The following is a 21,227-nucleotide window of genomic DNA, read 5'->3' on the forward strand; positions in this document are numbered from 1 at the left end:
AAGTTCGTTCTTTGCTCTGCACTCCCTTAGATTTTGTGGTTAGCTTGTAGGAGGTATGTACTCCAAAGGCCCGGAGAGTTTACGACTCCTGCATTTGAAGTGAATTGCTCTTTTCTAGTAAATTTTCTGAAATGTACATAAGCTTAAACTGTGAAAAACTTCAAAATGTAGGAATAACACGTAGTGATAAAACATAGGAAAAGGAATCAATGCTTCCTTTTATGTGTTTAAAATTGTAAGCATTCTCCTTCGAAAATTCTAGAAAAGGTTTAAATGTGTCATAATGTGCTGTTTACTAATAATAATCCCCCTTGTAGGATTTCTAAATCTTCTGCAATAGCAGCACCTACCTGTTACATCAGGGCATTTTAAACAAAACAGCTTTGTTAGTAACGGGAAGCTACTTTTCTTTTTCACTAGATTCACTAAAATCAGGAAATAATGTATTTAATAATAAAAGGAAGGCAGAATCTTTAACAGAAGGGAAACCATGACACGATTACTTATGTAGAAACAGTTGTACGGTAGAACACATTCTCATTCTGGAGTTGCAATTATATTTAAAATAAAACACTGCAGAGCCGTTTTGCCCATTTCCCCTCTAGATCGTTTAAATGGATTGAGTTTTCCACTGAAACTTTGCTTTTCTCATGACACTTTTGCGCAGGGCACTTTTCAATCCCTTCAAGAATTTCATGGACATTTATAAATGCAGGAAGCTATTCATGGCCCTCAAAGGGCAACAACTGCCCCACTCTCTCCTAGAGCGGAGAAAGAGCTTTTATCCTAAGAATGTGAAAAGCGAGGCCAAGGCAGTTTCACACGTGGGGGGGCAATGAAAGAGGGGCGGGGGGGGGTTAATCTTAGTGATTAAAATGCTAATGTTTTATTTGAAGAGGAAAACCTTTGATTTTTAAGAAAAGAATTCTAAGAGGAAGACATTTAATTCCTTGAAGTTACCAAAGACCTGGCAGATAACAAGTCCAATGCCACAACATCCAACCAGGAAAATGACACTACAGGCTTGCTTCTAGGAGGGACGCTGCTTGCTTTTTCAGTCTTAATGGAAACAGATATTACACAAAAGGCGTGGACAGTTTTCAGAGCTTTTGGGCCGGTCAGCAGGTTGCAAGAGTTGGCTTCCCATGGGAGCATTAGATTTCTCTAATGCTTAACGTTTGCTTGTATAGAAATAATACACATTGTTTTAAACAAAGTCAGAGTATTAAACAGATTATAATAAAAAACCTGTCCCACTCTATCTACCTGCTAATTACATTATCCAATGGCATTCTTTCCTATATTCATTTATTCATTAAAAATACATAGGTCAAATTCAGTTATTACATTTTGACTTTATTGAGCCGATTATAGGCCAGGCACTGCTCTCAGAGCAGGTGGATAATGGAAGGCCCTGCCCTCAAGGACTTGGCATTGCACTGTGAGAAGCATCCGTGAACACACACTCACACCCAAGTGGTAAGTACAGCGAGCAAAGGGTGGGCGCGGGCAGAGGGGGACTGTCACTCCACAAGGGCCCTCAAGGAAGGGGCCTCACTGGCACTGAGGCCCAAAGGGACAAGCATTCTGAGCCAGAGGAACAGAAAGCATGAGTGCCGGAGGTGGAGCGTGCCCAGCCTGCTGGAGGAAGCGCAGTGGCCACAGGGGCGTGTGTAGCGATCTGGTTTCGTGGAAGCTCTTTCGGGTGGTTTCTGTGTTCTTTTCCTAGTGTCTATATAACATGCTCATATGCTACTTCTTGATTTATCCATGTCAGACATGAGCCCCTGACTTCCTGCCATGGGACAGCAGGCTTCTGCTCTCTGGCTCCTTTCTTCCTGTGCCCTCATTGTCTTTACATAGTCGTATCAGAAGAGAAGGGAGCCCTGCTTTCCACATCCTGGGGCACCTACTGTCTGAGTGTAAGTGAAGGACAGCTTTCAGATGCCCAGGGCAGCCACAACTCCCCTCTGTGAGTCCCTTCTTGGGACATCCTAGAGAATGAGCTCTACCAAAATGAGGGAGAGGCAAGAAGTCAGCAAAGGCCAAGGAAGGCTCAAGGATCGCAGCTGAGACGGAGGGCTCCACAAAGGTGCTCTTCGGAAGAAAACAAATTAGTAAGTTACCTGGCATGTTTGAAGGTGTGGGAGTTATCTTATAGGTACATGCAGTACCAAACCAGTGAGGGTGGCTGTAAAGGCCAAATGATGATATGCAAAGCAGAGTCTTAGATGGGATGTTGTTGCAGACACATACCTGATGCCAGTGGACCCTAGCCAGGCCCACGGCCCCACTGTGTGGATGACAGTAACTCCCAGCAGGACCCACTGGATGTTGTTACTGTCATCCGAACTTACAGAAACTACTCAGTTTATGCCACTATCTCCACCCCATCCCACCACTGTAATCCCCAACATATAAGCTCATTGTTGGCAGGTGTTACCTTTATATCTCTGGGCTAGCACTGCACCTGACACCCTGGAAATGCTGAATGTTTGTTGAAGGAATATGCAAGTGAAAAGGTGTTTTTGATAGTGACTGCTCTGCACCATTAAGGAGTTGATGGATTCTTAAGCTTGGATGACAGCGGGGCTTCTACCAGTACCTGCCCATACGAGGAGAGCAACATTTACCTCCCCCAGTTGTTGTGAATATTAAATGAGATGGGCATGGAAAAACTCCAAGCCTTGCACGTCTTAGGTACTTAATAAATGTTAGTTTCCCCTTTTGACCTCCTTTCTTCCCAGTGAAAATGGATTGAGTTGCCAAATCCTGCCAGTGTCATCGTGTCCCCCAGGGTTCCCCTTTAGTTCAGCATCTCATGCAGTGGGGTGCCCTTGCCACTAGTGGTATGTAAGAGAATTTTCAGTGGCACACAGACATTTTTATCTTATATCACTAGCATATCAAACCTATGACCACATTCATATTGTTGCTTAGGATAAGGTGCAATTATTAAGGTGAAAGCCCTGAGTCAATTTAAAAATACATCTATTAAGTTAATAATATCCAGAGAAGACCAAGGTTGGGAAGGAGGCCACGAATGACTGCCATTTGGAAAGATTCCACTTCACATCCGGATTGCAACTTTCAGAAACTTCCACACTAGCACTAATGACTGAGGTCACCTTGGCAGGTCACTGTGTTTGGATTTATCTTGAGGGCACAGTAGAACCACAGGAGTTCGGTAATAGTTCTAGGAAATTAAAATGCAAATATCTGAAAGACCAGTTCCTACACTTGCGGATCCAGCCAGATGACAGCTATGCTCATCAGGCTGAACAACTGACAGAAAAATCGTGTGTCAGAATTGAGGCACACATCTTAGTTTAATAGGAATAAGACATTTGACTACACATACAGTATCAATTTTCTTAATTTAAGCAATCTAAAAATATGTTTCTTCCCTGCCACTAGCATGAAAACATTCAGCTGAAGTCTTAGGGGTTCAAAAACAGGATGGAGGTCTTGACTATCTTCTCATCCTATATGCATCTTGCCTTTTAACCAATTGTATGCTTAAGGCCACCAAAAGGAATTTTTTTTTTTTTTTGAGGCAGAGTCTCGCTCTGTCATCCAGGCTGGAGTGCAATGGCGTGATATCGGCTCACTGCAAGCTCCGCCTCCTGGGTTCAAGTGATTCTCCTGCTTCAGCCTCCCGAGTAGCTGGGATTACAGGCTCCCGCTGTTACGCCCAGCTAATTTTTTTTATTTTTGAAGAGATGGGGTTTCACCATGTTGGCCAGGCTGGTCTTGAACTCCTGACCTCATGTGATCTGCCCACCTCGGCCTCCCAAAGTGCTGGGATTACAGGCGCAAGCCACCTCGCCTGGCCAGGAAATTTAAAATAGAGACAGGCAGAATGTCTCGGTTGTGAGTGGCATACAGCAGCCTCCCGTGATGGGGTTCCCAGCACGTGCTGCTGTCTTGGTGACCATGCACGTTCTCCTAAACTGACCTTTGTATGCGTTACATCCTTCCTTCATTGCAGGAAGAAAAAGACTTGGTGACATTTTCCATTTTTCGTCTTCTTCCTGTTCAAAGCAGAATATTTTCGTTAATCTCAGGCAAGACCGGGCAGCAAAAGACGCAGACGCTGTGATAACCGTGACGAGGGTCCATGCCGCGCAGGCCCAGTCCTGGTCCCCCTGGGCAGTGCCCCTCTGGCCCGTCTAAGTATGGAGTGCTGTGTCCACTGACCAGGCATGGGTGGTCCAGGCTCACCGAAGCATCCCCTGCTGATACCGGCTTTCTCTTCTCAGTGGCCTCCCCTGGGGTACCCCATGCCCCGAGTTTGATCCTGTCTTCTTTTTTGATTAAAAAACTTTCTTTCTTTCTTTCTTTTTTTGAGACGGGGCTTAAACAATCCTCCTGCCTCAGCCTCCCCAGTAGCTGGGACTGCAGGTGTGCACCACCACACCTGGCTAATTTTTAAATTTTTCTGTAGAGGTGGGGTTTTGCCATGTTGCCCAGGCTGGTCTTGAACTCCTAAGCTCAGGCAATCTGTCCCCCTCAGCCTCCCACAGTGTTGGGATTATAGGCCTGAGCCACCACACCCGGCCTGGTCCTGTCTTCTCATGCTCTCACTCCTTCCTTGCTCTAAAGGCTGAGTTCCTAGCCTGAGTCCATCTGCCTCCCTCCTCCACGTTGCTGTAACCAGCCCTTGGAGCTACTCCGAGTCCTTTGCTGAGCTGTGCTGCTTGCCAGTTCTAGCACCAGGGCTGTTCCTTCCTCTCGCTACCTGCCCCATCCTTGAGCCTGGAGCTGCAGCCTGACTCTGGGGCCCTGCTTCCTTCCCGGAGCCAGAGTCTAGCTAGCCTCCCTACCCTGGGCCCCCCACAGCAGAGAGAGCCTGGCCACCATCCTTGGCTCCTGCTGCTGACTCTGTGCACCAAGATGGGAGATTGCGGTGCTACCCGCCGCCAGCCCAGGCCATAGCTCTGCTCTGAGCCCCAGCACAACACCCCCTCTGCCCCTCTGCCGCCAGGGTTCACCTGCGCCTAATAGTGAGAGCTAGGCCCTGCAAACCCTCATGTGATGTTTCTCTGCAATAATGTTGACACTGCCTCAATAGTCTGGTTTCCGATGACCACTATCATGGCTATTGCTACCCTTAGAGAGGGCGAAAGGAACAACGCTGGCCTCCATTTGGTCCTCGGGTTCCCGAAGCAGGCTCAGTACTCTCTATGCAGTGACAGGAGGGGCAGCAGTTGGGTGGCGCGGGCGTGCCTCCCCTGGGCTGCTTCCAGAGCACGCCCTGACTCTGGCACCTGATGGGCTCTTCCGTTTCTGGGCTCCAGGGTTGGGCTCCGGGATGCGGTGGCCTGAACACGGTGCCCCCACAGTCCCTCGTGGTTGTGTAGTATCCATGCATCAGATCCAGAGGTATTTCTCCTCTCTCTCCCCATGGCCAAGCAATCACCAAACCCCACTGTTCTGCCGTGGAGGCTTTCCTGGGGTCTCCCTGCTTCTGCCTCCAGTCCCACTGCCCTGGCCCCTTGCTCCAAGGTTGGCTAACGCAGGGTCACTCTCTTCTCTCCTGCTGGAAGGGGTCTGCAGCAGACCTGGCCTTACGACTTCCTTCCTTGGAAGCCCCACAGAGGCATTTGTCTTGGAGCTCCTGGGAGGCACCGTTCCCCACAGGACACAGTCCAAGCCCCTCAGCAGACCACACACAACCCCCACAGGTGTGGTCCCTCAGGAGTGCCCCCGCCCACCTCTGGGGCCTTTGCCCTTGCCGCCTCCTGCCTCTGCCGTCACTGCAGAGATGCTGACAAGGCCACCCTCCCTGCACCTGCCATGCTCTTTGCCCTGCTGTCCTGTCCGCTTGGAAGGCCACCCTTGTCCTACACTTTCTGATGAATTCAGAGTCTGAACAGACCTCCCGTCCTCCTGAAATCCTCTCTGATGGCCTTCCTGCCCTTTTGACAGGATTGTCACTTCCTAAGAACAGCCCGCTTTTCCCACCAGACACAGCAGGCAGGAAGGACCCCGCCAGCCCTGGGGCCTGGCCACTTGGCCTGTGTGCGACATTTGCTGGATGAAACAAGAAGAGGGAAAGTATAGGCTCAATCCATGGATAAATGTGTAAATACAATGTGGTATTTCCATACAATGAAATGTTGAACTCACCCACAGAAAGGAGCGAACACAGACACGGGCTACGGAGCGGAGGAAGCGTGAAGACCTAGGCTGAGAGCGTGAAGTCAGAACCAAAAGGCCTCACAGTGTATGATCCCGTTTATATGAAAACAGATAAACTCAGGGACAGAAAGCAGATCAGTGGTGCCAGGGGGTTGGTGCGGGGAAGAGAGGGGGGAAGGGGAGGGACTGTTTAATGGGTACGGGGTCTCCTTGGGGTTGATGAAAATGTCTCCACTGTCACGCTACTTCACTGCATCCCTCGTGATTTTTGCCAGATCTGAGAATCCCTGACCAGCAGAACCATCATTTCTTTAAAGACTCACTTAAACTTATGTTCTTTAAAGAGGCACTCTCTATTGCTGAGGTGAAACCATAGTGGATACACTGGTTTCCCGATACACATGAGAATACAACACAACCATCGGAATAAAAGAGGCTGGGTGTGGAGCCATTGGACTCTCCCCAGTGCGTGCCCCAGGTGGCTGGGAAAGCCAGGGCTTCCTGGAATCCTCCCCAGCTCAGGGCTGGCAGCGGCTCTTGCTCCCAAGACAGTGCTGGGTTACACCCTGAGCAAAGGCACACTTGGTTGCCTCAGTTACTTTCTGAGGCAACTGTAGCTCTGATCAAGTCACCTCCTGGCTCAAGTGTCCCCAGGGGCTTCCCACAGCCCCCTGAGACCACGGGTTACCAGCTCACTCAGAGGACACACCTCCTGCCCCTGCTGACTCTCATCTGTGGTCTATTCCCCTGTGAATCCACCACGTCTTTTTTCAGCTTTGCATTTCAGCTTTGCATTTTTCAGCTTTGCATTTTGCTTTGAGTCCACTGTGTCTTTCAGCTTTGCATTTGCTCAGGTCACCAGGAAGCAAGGAAGACGCAGGAAATGGGATCACAAGAGCTTCAGGGGAGGCCCGGGGTGCTCGGGAGAGGACTCTCACTTCATGGGGTGGGGGGGCATGGCAGGCTTGCCTGGAACCGCAGCCCATAAACCATGCAGGGGGAGCTGCAGCCAGCGGGGAACCAGGGAGAGAACCTGGACCCAGAAACACCAGGGGGCCCAAAGCCTATGACACAGCTCACCCACCTTCCAGAGCGCACACTAAATCAAAGCTCTCTGGTAAGAAAGTCCCACCTACGACACAAGGCTTGGGTTAGCTACGCCCCATTCCTGGCTCCCAAGAGACCCAGGCATTAGAGAAAAGCCTGCAAGAGCAGCAAGAAAAAGACTAGTAGTGGATAAAGCAAGGCCTGGGAGGAAAGAGGGAGAATTCATGAACGAAAGAGAAATTTAAAATCACTTTAATTAGTATATTTATCCTCAGATATATTATTTATCATCTGTCTGTCTGTCTGTCTCTCTCTTTCCAGGTATCACTAAGGAGTCATACATCTTTATTACTTTTTCGTCAATGTTATTGTCTATTATTGCCATTTTTGTTTTGGATACTCAGATTGTTCTATGTTTGGTCTCTGGGAGCCCCTACACTGGTGAGGCTGTGCTCTTAGGGATGGATGAAGGCAAGGAAGAGGAGGAGGGGGAGGGGGAGGGCTCCAGGGAAGGAGACTGAGGTGTGACAAAGGGTTTCCAGCAGAAGGAACAGCATGTGTGAAGTCCAGATGGGGAGGCTGTGTCTCACAGGGATGGCTGAAGGAGGTTCGGCAGCCGTGAGGACTGCGTGGGGCTGGGCAGACAGACATGAGGCTGGAGTGGCGGGAGAGAGAGAGAGGCAGAGAGAAGAGGGAGGAAAAGAGAGACAGGGGGACAGAGATGGAGACACAGAGAAAGAGGATGGCTCTTGAAAGGACCAAGAGCTGCAGGGAGCTTGGAGTTGGCTTATGAGCAGGGCAGCTACCCAGGAGCCTGGTGTGAAGGGAATGGCCCCTTGGGACATCACTCTGGCTGGAACTGGGGGTTGAGGGGTGGGGAGGAGGCTAGTTTGCATGCATATGTGATATCCATCTGTTATAGCAGAATCATAGTTTATGGCTTAAAAGTTTTGCTGGATGAATAGGTGTAACATGGTATTTAAAAAAAATTATATTTCTTTAGTTGGTGTGGCTGAACTTCATTTTATTTGCTTTTCATTTCCTAACTTTGTGGCCTTATCTTGATTTTTACAAATGAAAGTGCATGAGCCTACCTATTTACCTGTGAACCTTTCCTGAGCAGCTACTAAGGGTGGGACTCACTAGATACTAGAACTGCACAGGGCCTGCCTCTGAGATCCTTGAGTCCTCCTGCCTCCCCGATCCTCGCTCGCTGTGCCTCGGGGCCCCGACTGCAACACACCACAGCCCCTCTTCCCCCGATGCCTTTTACTAGGTGGTTCCCAGGTCCAGGGCTTCCCTGTAACTGTCACACACACGTTTCCCCGAATAGAAACCAGGGGTCGCCTTCCCAGATCCCATCCCACCACTGTGGCTGGCCTTGCACACTCTGGCCCACTTCCTGAGGTGAGGAAGGCTAGCCATGACCCGAGTTCTGATGCTCTCTTCCTCTACACAGGGTGGGTGGCCCACTCCACTGTCAGACAACTTTTTTGACTTAACCCAATGGAGAGTTAAAAAAAAAAAAAAAAAAGAAAAAGAAAAAGAAAAGAAAAGAAAGAAAAAAGAAAAAAAATCCAATGCCCCAGCTCTGCCCTAGACCAATTATGCTCAATTAAGTGAGAATTTCTTCCAAGGTGTGTGGATATTGGGAGTCGTTTTTTCCTAAAACCACCCCAGGCAGCTAGACTGAAGGCCATAGATTCATTGAAGTTGTCCTTCCATCAGCTGAGGCCCAGTTCCTGGAGCCTCAGGGAGTCTGCACCCTCTTCATGCCCTAAGTCTGCTCCAGATGAAGCCTTCCTGACTCCTATCCCCATCGCTCAAAAGAGATTTCCAGATTATTCGCCCTCCTGGCCATCTTCTGTGGACTGTTCTAGCTACCCAGGCTCCCAGTCAAGCAACGGTGCTGGTTTAATGGTCATGGTGGAGCCACGGCCGGTAACCTCCTTGGCCTTTGCGGCATGTGAAGGTGGCCTGCAGTTATGCCACTGTCTGGACATTCCCAGCACACCATGGGCCTGGAGTTAACAAAGTCCTCCTATCTTTTTAATGCATATACCATGTAGACAGATATCTCCTGCTTTGAAATTATATGAATGGTTTTTAGGTGTTTATTCGTAATGACTTGACCGGCTCAGGCTGCTATAAGAAAATAGTATACACTAAGTGCCTTATAAACAAAAGAAATGCATTTTTCACAGTTCCGGAAACTGGCAAGTCCTAGATCAAGGTGCAGATTCTGTGTCTGGTGGGGGCTGCTCTCTGCTTCAGAGACTGCACCTTCTAGCCATGTCTTCACTCCGCGGAAGGGGCAAAGCAGCTCTCTGGGGTCTCTTTCACAAAGGCACTAATCTCAATCACAGGGGCTCTGCCCTCAGGACCTAATCACCCTCAGAGGCCCCACCTCCTAACACCACCACATTGGTGATTAGCTTTCAATGTATGAATTTTTTGTAGGTGGGTGAACACAAAAATTCAGACCATGGCACCCAACAAATGTAAATTTCTTACATTTGGCCCACCTAAGTGACTTCATGCTTCTGGAGGGGAGTGTTTATTCATGCCTCCGCCATTTTCCATCTCCATTGCTTTCCACACTTGCTGGCTGAACAAATAATGAACAGGTGGGAGGAGAAGTGCGTTCTCACCTGCAGACCGACCTCAGAGTTGAGTCACTGTAGTATCTGCCTTCTCTGCTTGGCCACACCAGCATGCCATGATCTGTGGTTTGTTGCATCCAACTTTCTTGCCTTTTTTTGCAAACTGAGCCATTTCCATGGCTCCAGTTTTCTGGGCCTTGCTTTCTCTGGGGCTCCTCAAATATCACAGTTAGTAGTACTGAGACTTGACCTGCCCGGTCTCTGGGTACCGCTAAGATGCTCAACCGCACAGAAAGCTTCCTTTAGAGCAGACAGTTGCTTTCTCATCGGCCTCTCACTTTCTCTTCATGGCCCAATCAGTTATAAATCACTCAGGACAAAGCAGTTGTTAAGTGAAAATAAACTTATGGAGGCCTCTCGATTTGATTTAGACGATAGTAGTCCTCCTTTCTCCAAGGAGGATACATTCCAAGACCCCAGTGCACACCTGAAGCCTCGGATCGTACCAACCACTACATACACTATACTTTTTCCTATACAGAAACAGGCAGGTAGTGTATACAGCATGAACATGCTGGACAAAGGGATGATTCACGTCCATGGTGGGATGGGACAGGATGGTGTAAGACTTCATTCACACTGCGAAGAATGGTGCACAATTCAAAACTCAGGAATTTTCCATTTAATACTTATGGGTCACACTTGACCGTGGGTAACTGGAACTGCGAAAAGTGAAACTGAGAATAAGGGGGGACTAGTGCATATTTAAAAAGCTGGTTTATGGAAACTGACCATTTTTCGTAAGTTTCCGGCTACTGTGTGAACTTTGTCCCTTACACAACACAGATAAATGCTACATGGAGAACGTTTCTAAAGTTTCTTACTGAGAGTCAATGGGACATACTGAGAGATGCAGAGATGCAAATGCAAATGTTTCCAGAAGAGGCTTTGTTATCAAAATATCTTTGTGAAATTAGGAGGGCAGTCAGAGATAAACCGTGCGCCTTCTTCTTGCCCTCCCCAAATGTTAACTACTGCTATTATTTCCTGCCTGGCTTAAAGAGCGATTCAAATGCATGGAGGTTTTGTTGAAAATTTTCTATTGGTAAATATGTGCATCTGAAGTAGGCTGTTGAGGGATGGCTAACATCTCACACTGGTAGGGCTGTGGAAAAATTCAAATAGGGCTGCAACTGTTAGATTTTTTGAAATGAGGTTATATATTTTGAAATACATCTGTTCTCAGCGGCTTTCAGATTACCTGCTCCTCCCCTCTGGGTCCGTATCCTGGGGTGGGGGAGAGGTCGACCAGCGATTTTGAAGAGGCTGACGATTTCCCACTGATCTGAGAGTGAAATAATAATCCCCTTCTCTAGATTCAGAAGTGAAAACCAACCCAGAAACTATAATGGCTGAACACTATATTTAAAAATTAATATGCACCAAACAACGTGATAGCTTATGCAACTAAACTTGAAAAACAGATCAAGGATCTCCACTATTTTTTTTTTTTTTGAGATGGAGTTTCACTCTGTTGCCCAGGCTGGAGTGCAGTAGCACAATCTCGGCTCACTGCAAGCTCTGCCTCCCGGGTTCATGCCATTCTCCTGCCTCAGCCTCCCAAGTAGCTGGGACTACAGGCGCCCACCACCACGCCTGGCTAATTTTTTGTATATTTAGTAGAGATGGGGTTTCACCATGTTGGCCAGGATGGTCTCAATCTCTTGACCTCGTGATCCGCCTGCCTCGGCCTCCCAAAGTGCTGGGATTACAGGCATGAGCCACCGCGCCCAGCCACATCTCCACTATTTTTGAGCTTGCATTTAGCTCGTCATTTTACTTTCTGCTCATGCATTTGCGACAGCACTAGGGAATCAACATTCCTCATGGCTTTGAGGGCTGCAGAGTGCTACTCTTTCCCCCACAAAAGAAATACAAGAGATAGGAGAGAATCTACAGTGGGAAGTCTAAAAATGTACAGCTGTGTCCTAAATACATTTGTCACAAGTTTCTTTGATGGTATCTGGGTTAATTTTTGTCGGAAAGAGCTTCTTGGTTATGAGTACGGTAGTAAGAAATAAACCACATTTCTCACATGGGCCATGCAAGCTGCCAGCTGGTTACTGGCTCTCCAGTCCTCAGACTTGGGCTGGAGTCTACACCATGGGCCCTCAGCTCTCTGGCTTTTGAACTCTACCACCAGCTCTCCTGGGGCCCCCTCTTGTAGACGGCAGATGGTGGGACTTCTCAGGCTCCATAACCAAAGGAACCAATACCTTATAATGAATGAATCTTTCTCTATATAAATATAAAAGGGCACAGAAGATATCTATATATACACACACACACGGGCCACATGTACTTTTTATATATCGCTCTCCTATTGATTTTGTTTCTCTGGAGTGCCCTGACTACACTTTCTTCTCAAGCCTTCTCCTCACCTCTGCTGCATCATTTCCCCCCTGTGATCCTCTCTCTCTTTAAAGAACCTCCTCACTGCCTCCATCATAGCCTTAGTTTTCACTCCTCATTTTTTTTTTTTCAGTGGAAAATAACTTTTAGTGAGACCTCAGCAGCTGCAAAATCTATTCCTGGCATTAAGCTCCGTCTTCTACTGCAATTTGGTCTTTCTTGAGTGGTTTCATGAATATTTTCCATGAATACTTTCTTCTCTTCCATGGTCTGGGAGCAGCCATGGCCAAACTTGGCAGTGGTGTCAATGAACTTAAGGTCAGTCTTCTCCAGAGCCCGCTGTTTGGTCTCAGCCAGCAAAGACTTGTGGAGGGTGAGCACTCACTTCTTGGTTCCCACCACACATTCCTTCAGCATGACAAAGCCACTGGTCACTTCACCATATGGGACAAAGCCACCCAGAGAGTTGATATTCTTGTCAGGAAGGTCATGGTCAGTGGAGGCATTGTTCTTGATCAGTTTGTCGTCCTTGATAAGGTAGCCCTGGCCGATCTTAGAGATCAATCTTCTTGTGATCTCAGTGCGGTGATGGTAGCCTTTCTGCCCAGCACGTGCCACAGAGAAGGCCACACAGGCAGGATGCCATGCCCCAATCCAGGCCACCTTGCGCAAGCCTCAGTGGGTCTTGCAGGGTAGCTTCTTGGTGTGTCAATGACTTGTGACCCCTTTGTAGTCTTTGCCCTTGGTCACCTTGAAGACGTCAATCATCTCATCCTGCCCAAACACTTGGTTCACAGGTATGGGCTGCTCTAGCCTCTCCCGGCCCCAGTCCAGCTTCTTGGCCACGGTGCCTCTGTTCACCTGGATCTCCATCAGCGGGGCCTTCTTCTGGCGTGGAGGAAGCAGGTATATGTGGGTGTGGCAGTGACATGGATGACTTGGCAGTGCTTCTTCATGCTGCTGAAGTCCTGCTCCAGCTGCTTCTTGCCATCCATATTCTGCCATTTCTTGCAGTAATTGGTAAAGGCCTCCTTCTTAGATTTATGCCAGTTGTTAGAGAAGTGCTTTTTGCACTCATCGCTGATGTACTGAGCGAAGATGGTCTTGAAGGTCTGGAGGCCTTGAGGTTTGAGGGGTTTCCACATAGCCCACAATGCCCATAGCCACCATGGCAGTGTCTCCACAATAGTCACAGCCTCTACCACCTCCTTCTTGTTCACGTTGGATCCTAGCCTGTTGACTTCTTGCACGATGTGGGTCATGCCAACCTTGTATCCCAGGAAGGCTGCGAAGTGGACCGGCTTGGAAGGGTCATCCTTAGGGCAGCTCTTCACCTTCCCACGATGCGTGCTGTGCACTTCCGAGGCAGGAAGCCGAGGGACCCATGTCTGGGAGTGGAGGACTTCTTGTGAGACATCACGCCATCACATCTTGCTGGTAGAGCCTAATTTTTTTTCTTTTTTTGAGACAGAGTCTCCCTCTGTTGCCCAGGCTAGAGTGCAGTGGTGCAATACTAGCTCACTGCAGCCTTCCTCCCAGGCTCAGGAGATCCTCCTGCTTCAGCTGCCTGAGTAGCTGGGACCACAGGCACACACCATCATGCCTGGCTAATTTTATAAAAATTGTTTGTAGGTTTGTAGTTCTCCTTGAAGAGGTCCTTCACATCCCTTGTAAGTTGGATTCCTAGGTATTTTATTCTCTTTGAAGCAATTGTGAATGGGAGTTCACTCATGATTTGGCTCTCTGTTTGTCTGTTGTTGGTGTATAAGAATGCTTGTGATTTTTGTACATTGATTTTGTATCCTGAGACTTTGCTGAAGTTGCCTATCAGCTTAAAGAGATTTTGGGCTGAGACAATGGGGTTTTCTAGATATACAATCATGTCGTCTGCAAACAGGGACAATTTGACTTCCTCTTTTCCTAATTGAATACCCTTTATTTCCTTCTCCTGCCTGATTGCCCTGGCCAGAACTTCCAATACTATGTTGAATAGGAGTGGTGAGAGAGGGCATCCCTGTCTTGTGCCCGTTTTCAAAGGGAATGCTTCCAGTTTTTGCCCATTCAGTATGATATTGGCTGTGGGTTTGTCATAGATAGCCCTTATTATTTTGAAATACGTCCCATCAATACCTAATTTATTGAGAGTTTTTAGCATGAAGGGTTGCTGAATTTTGTCAAAGGCCTTTTCTGCATCTATTGAGATAATCATGTGGTTTTTGTCTTTGGTTCTGTTTATATGATGGATTACATTTATTGATTTGTGTATATTGAACCAGCCTTGCATTCCAGGGATGAAACCCACTTGATCATGCTGGATAAGCTTTTTGATGTGCTGCTGGATTCGGTTTGCCAGCATTTTATTGAGGATTTTTGCATCAATGTTCATCAAGGATATTGGTCTAAAATTCTCTTTTTTGGTTGTGTCTCTGCCCGGCTTTGGTATCAGGATGATGCTGGCCTCATAAAATGAGTTAGGGAGGATTCCCTCTTTTTCTATTGATTGGAATAGTTTCAGAAGGAATGGTACCAGCTCCTCCTTGTACCTCTGGTAGAATTCGGCTGTGAATCCATCTGGTCCTGGACTCTTTTTGGTTGGTAAGCTATTGATTATTGCCACAATTTCAGCTCCTGTTATTGGTCTATTCAGAGATTCAACTTCTTCCTGGTTTAGTCTTGGGAGAGTGTATGTGTCGAGGAATTTATCCATTTCAACCACTGCTCAAGGAAATAAAAGAGGATGCAAACAAATGGAAGAACATTCCATGCTCATGGGTAGGAAGAATCAATATCGTGAAAATGGCCATACTGCCCAAGGTAATTTACAGATTCAATGCCATCCCCATCAAGCTACCAATGACTTTCTTCACAGAATTGGAAAAAACTACTTTAAAGTTCATATGGAACCAAAAAAGAGCCCGCATCGCCAAGTCAATCCTAAGCCAAAAGAACAAAGCTGGAGGCATCACACTACCTGACTTCAAACTACACTACAAGGCTACAGTAACCAAAACAGCATGGTACTGGTACCAAAACAGAGACATAGATCAATGGAACAGAACAGAGCCCTCAGAAATAATGCCACATATCTACAACTATCTGATCTTTGACAAACCTGAGAAAAACAAGCAATGGGGAAAGGATTCCCTTTTTAATAAATGGTGCTGGGAAAACTGGCTAGCCATATGTAGAAAGCTGAAACTGGATCCCTTCCTTACACCTTATACAAAAATCAATTCAAGATGGATTAAAGACTTAAACGTTAGATCTAAAACCATAAAAACCCTAGAAGAAAACCTAGGCATTACCATTCAGGACATAGGCATGGGCAAGGACTTCATGTCTAAAACACCAAAAGCAATGGCAACCAAAGCCAAAATTGACAAATGGGATCTAATTAAACTAAAGAGCTTCTGCACAGCAAAAGAAACTACCACCAGAGTGAACAGGCAACCTACAAAATGGGAGAAAATTTTCGCAACCTACTCATCTGACAAAGGGCTAATATCCAGAATCTACAATGAACTCAAACAAATTTACAAGAAAAAACAAACAACCCCATCAAAAAGTCGGTGAAGGACATGAACAGACACTTCTCAAAAGAAGACATTTATGCAGCCAAAAAACACATGAAAAAATGCTCAGCATCACTGGCCATCAGAGAAATGCAAATCAAAACCACAATGAGATACCATCTCACACCAGTTAGAATGGCAATCATTAAAAAGTCAGGCAACAACAGGTGCTGGAGAGGATGTGGAGAAATAGGAACACTTTTACACTGTTGGTGGGACTGTAAACTAGTTCAACCATTGTGGAAGTCAGTGTGGCAATTTCTCAGGGATCTAGAACTAGAAATACCATTTGACCCAGCCATCCCATTACTGGGTATATACCCAAAGGATTATAAATCATGCTGCTATAAAGACACATGCACATGTATGTTTATTGTGGCATTATTCACAATAGCAAAGACTTGGAACCAACCCAAATGTCCAACAATGATAGACTGGATTAAGAAAATGTGGCACATATACACCATGGAATACTATGCAGCCATAAAAAATGATGAGTTCATGTCCTTTGTAGGGACATGGATGAAATTGGAAATCATCATTCTCAGTAAACTATCGCAAGAACAAAAAACCAAACACCGCATATTCTCACTCATAGGTGGGAATTGAACAATGAGAACACATGGACAGAGGAAGGGGAACATCACACTCTGGGGACTGTTGTGGGGTGGGGGGAGGGGGGAGGGATAGCATTGGGAGATATACCTAATGCTAGATGACGAGTTAGTGGGTGCAGCGCACCAGCATGCCACATGTATACATATGTAACTAACCTGCACATTGTGCATATGTACCCTAAAACTTAAAGTATAATAATAAAAAAAAAAGAAAAAAAAATTGTTTGTAGGGATGGGGGTCTCCCTATGTTGCCCAGGCTGGTCTCGAACTTCTGGATTCAAGTGATCCTTCCATCATGGCCTCCCCAAGTGCTGGATTATAGGCGTGGGCCACTGCGCCCAGCCAATTCTCACTTCTCATGGCAGAGGGACTCAGGAGGCAGAAAGAAAACCTTCCTTTTATCCTTCCAGAAATTCCCAGTTGGAAGACTATATAGGAAGTTCATGGTGCTGGATTTCTTCCTGCCTTCCATGCTGTTCCCATCCCCCAGTTGGTTTTAGCTCTTCCTGCTGCCTCAATATGTGGCTGTAATCCAGATTCTCCAGCCTCCATTCACATGAATTTTCCTATACCTCATCCGTGCCCCACCTTCAACTAGAGTTTTCCTGTGCAGGGATATGTCCTGATCCGCACCACTGGTCTTTATCTCTCCTGAGTTTGTCCTGAACTTCCAGCTGTTGAACCATAGACAATGGTTTGACTCAATAGCTCTAAAGCCAGCCGGTCCATCTGTTCTTAATCTTACCTCTGTTCCACTCAAGATACCTGGAGTTCACTTCAATTCCTTGGTCTCCTGTTTCTTCCACACGCTGTCAGCCAGGCAAGTCATCCTTTGTGGTATCTCTTGCATCCTTCGAGATGTCTCTTGCGTCTATTTCATCTTTTTATATCCAGTACTTTCACCCAAGGGCAGATCTTCATCTGAGCATTTATTCATGTCTTCAAAAATAATTACTGCATAGCTCTTGAGTTCCAAGAGCTGTCAGAGATGCCGATCAGAGTTTGGGTCACTCTAGCTGCTGTAGGGGAATAGGCTGTAGAATGGCAGGAGAGGAGGTGGGGGCACTGGCTGGGAGGCTGGTATAGTTGCAGCTGTGAGAGGCAATGATGCCTCTTGGTCAGGTGGTTGCCGTGGAGATGGGGAGATGTGGGCAGACTTGGGCTGTGAGCGTAGGCTCCTGAAAGAGTCTCCTGCCATTCCATATCCCTCATGAAGCCTCCCCTGCCACTCTGGTGCCTAAGATCATCACTCTCCTTTGAGTCTGCAGTGCCTCCATTGGCCCTTTGCCTGTGTAACCAAATATATCCTTTCTCTAAGCAGTGATTTTTGAGCTTTTTATAAAAGGGACCTCTTGAAAACATGAAGAAAGTCCACACACCTTTTCCCCAGAGAATGTTCCTTCCCATGAAAGTTTACAAACAACTGCAGGGTGTTTAACCATGGGGTCCCTGTTCCCTAGGCTAAGGACTCTATTATCTCTGTCACCCACAAGCCAACCTCTCACTTCTTTCCATCTTCTTCTCTTATTGTATTTCAGTGGGCACAGAAGATGCTCCAGACATACATTTCCTTGATGGCACCCTCATTCCTGATAACTTCCTTTGGAAATGCATGACATTCACTTGTCCATTTTTGTAAAGTCATGCAAAATTTGGTTTGAAATGTTCTAAAATAACCTAAGAATGTGGTTGGCTTAATGGTTCAATTTGGAGCACCTCTTTGGGCCAAGGGATTGGAGAGGAGGAGCTGTGGTCAGAGTTAGGTCTGCTGGCACTGCAGATAAACAAATGTTTTCAATGTGAATTGTGCTGTATAAAGGTCCAAGGGTCTTTCCAGAAGAAGTTAGCACTAAGTTAAAGCATTTTGAGGCTGGAGTGCATTTAGAGAAGACTCATTAATGTTCATGTGATCATGTTATGACAGGTCAATACCACTTTAAATCATTCCAAATGGTCTAACATGTGGCTTGAAAAATAACAGAGGAAACAGTTGTAAGGATGATTGCATAGTGCTCTATTACTGCGACTTTTGTTTCTAAAGCCAATGTGAGGGCCACACAACTGTGAGACAAAGGCGATTACTTTGGTATTGAAAGCACCTTTGCAGGACTGCTATCAGTTAGCAGAAAATGTCCTCCTGGCACTAGCATTGTCTTCTGTTAAAGTGCTTTCCACAGAGCATTCCTTAACTGCAGTCCACAACAATTCTGGATTTAAAACTGAGAACTCAAAAGAAAGACTATTTTTTTTGAGAGTTCTGTATATATTCTAGGTGCTAATCCTTTTCAGATAGATAGTTTGCAAATATTTTCTCCCATCCATAGCTTTTTTTTCATCCTCTTCACTGGGTCTTTCAGAGAGCAACAGTTTCTGATTTTGATGAGGCCCAATTTATACATTTTCCCTTTTATGGATCCTGCTTCTGGTGTCCAGTCTAAGACCTCTTTGCCTAGCTCTAGATTCTGAGGATGTTTTTCCTATGTTTTAATCTCAAAGCTTCATAGTTTTATGTTTAAGTCCATGACCGATTTTGAGTTTAATACTTGTGTAAGGTGTGAAGTTTACCTAGAGATTCATTTTGTTGCCTATGAATGAGAGACTAATTTTTAGAACCTCTTATTTGAATGTATTTATTGCGCTTCTTTTTTTGTTTTTAGTACAGATGGGGTCTCGCTGTGTTGCCCAGGCTGGGTGCCAACTCCTGGCCTCAAGTGATCCTCCTGACCAAGCCTCCCAAAGTGCTGGGATTACAGGTGTGAGCCACTGGGCAGGACTACTGTGCTTTTGTGTTTTCTCTTCCACTAGCCCTGAGCTGAAGACGAACATCCCAGAATGTTCTGTTTTCTTCTGTCTTTCAGTATCTCAGTATGGAGGGGCTCCAGATGGATCCAAATAAGGAACTGCGAACGTTCATATTTTAAACATTAAACTGTTTCACCAAGTTTCTTGATGAAAAGATCAAATGCAGGCAAGATTATTAATCACAAGATATTTTATTCTAAAATGGTCTTGTGTACAATTACAGAGATCCACCATGACAATCCTGCTCTTTCTCACTCCACTAGCCCTGCAATAAATTGGAAATTCACACAGAAACACTGATTCATTGTGAAATTCAACCGAAACATTCAGCAGTTCTCATGACTTTTTTTGCACTTATAATAGATTTTTTCATATTTATGTTAATTTGTAACGATCTCATGGACATGTAAAGCTTTTAGCTCTCTACCTGTGTGACATTCAGAAAATAACCTATTTTCCATTTAAAGAGGTTAGTTGAAATATTCAGATAGGATTATCCTATCTAATCCTATCTGAATATTTCAACTAACATATTAATATTTCAATTAAAACATGAGGTCTTTTCAAGTTTTCCAATTATGCATATAGAACTGGCAATTGATATGTGGTCTTGTCAAAATAGTGAAAGAACAATCATGCAGCTGGGCCCTGTGAGGGCTGGGATAAGCCAGCGTCCAGACAAGTTAGACACAACTATTTTCCTCTCTCTTCTCCCTTGCCCTCTAACCATGAGGAATTATAGTGCCTTTTGCTATAAGTCAAAATGTCAGTTCTCACAAAAGGATTTGAATAACTGGTCTCAGGAATGGTTTGAGGTACTCTAGGGTTGATACCAGAGTAAGACTTTTAAAAGTCTCTGGAAAGGGTAGCAGCATAACTTAAATATATCAATTTTTATTAGAGATGACCATTTCTTCTTTTAATAATCACATTGTCACTATGCAGATCTGCATTTTTCATGAAAAACTTCATTTCTGATTCTGAAGGCGTTTCCCCTTCATTTGCAAGCATTTCATAAATGCTGATGTTCTTAAACTTTGCTTTTTGTTCAAAACTGTTCATCGTTAAGTGACTCTTTAATAGCTAGTTAATAAAATACTTTCACCCAACAAAGACCAGATTGTGTAGCTGGTAATTTCAGATTTACACGGAACAAGCTTCACTAACAGCGAATTTTTAATTTGCAAGTATAAAACTCCCTTGTGCATATTTAGAGGAAGAGATTCTTAGAATAAAATTGGAATGCTTCCAATTCTCTTTATTCTTAGGCACTTCTTCAAAATTGTCTCGCAGAGTAAGAGTATGATTTTTAAAATTAACTGTATTCAGGGGGCTTTTTTTTTCCAGAACAAGCTAGAACTTCTGGGGTATAGGCAGAACAATAGGGCCCTAGGTGGTCTCCCAGATCGGGTTCCCTGGAAACACTCAGATGGAGATGGATGTAGGTGGTCTACTGGGAACACCACCCAGAAGGAAGAGAGGGAGGGAAGCAGCCCTGGGCAGAGGGAGAAGCTAAGTTATGATGCAATTGCAAGAGAGCTATCAGCTAATCCCAAAGGGAGCAACAGAAGCTGGGAGAACCCTTGGAGTTGTCCAGGCAAGGTGAGGGGGCTGGGCTTTGGTACTATCACGTGACTGTCCTTGGATGCAGCTGCCCCAGAAGTGGTGTAACCTCGCCTGTAGTGGCTCCCTTAGACTGGAGCAATTCCTGGGGTGGGATTTAGCTGTGAGTGTCAGCACTGTCATGTGGGGAGCCAGGTGCTTGAGTGCCTTGGTCCTGAAAGGGGTATCCAAGGGGCCCAACTCAGCATCTACTGCCAGTGAATTGGGTTGTGCCCCAAATGAGCAGTAAGGGGTCTCTTCTTTTGTTCATTCAGTGAACATCAGTGGAACGTGGTTAAAGAAAGGGATGAAGACAAATGGAGGCAGACGGAAGAACCACTGCGGGTCACAGTGCAGGAGCCGAGCATGTGAAAGGAACCACTGCCTTCAGTCGGCCAGCCGCAGTCATGCCCGGAGCTTTGAACAC

General features: G+C 46.0%; 1 protein-coding gene and 1 pseudogene across 10 annotated transcripts in view; both read right to left on the reverse strand.

Moving 5' to 3' along the window:
• The window catches only part of DRC11 (dynein regulatory complex subunit 11), a 200,792-nt gene that overhangs the window by 88,770 nt on the left and 90,795 nt on the right, over positions 1-21,227 (reverse strand). For all 10 annotated transcript variants that reach the window (XR_007081589.1, NR_073043.2, NM_001270584.2 and 7 more), the window contains one exon: positions 3,959-4,034. Coding sequence is in view for 8 of the 10 variants with exons in the window: in NM_001270584.2 (NP_001257513.1) it covers positions 3,959-4,034 (76 nt within the window). In the remaining 2 variants the exon portion in view is untranslated. The remainder of the gene's footprint in view (positions 1-3,958; positions 4,035-21,227) is intronic.
• On the reverse strand, positions 12,336-13,649 carry RPL3P5 (ribosomal protein L3 pseudogene 5; annotated as a pseudogene).

This window comes from Homo sapiens, chromosome 2 (assembly GCF_000001405.40).
Source record: "Homo sapiens chromosome 2, GRCh38.p14 Primary Assembly".
NCBI lineage: Eukaryota > Metazoa > Chordata > Mammalia > Primates > Hominidae > Homo > Homo sapiens.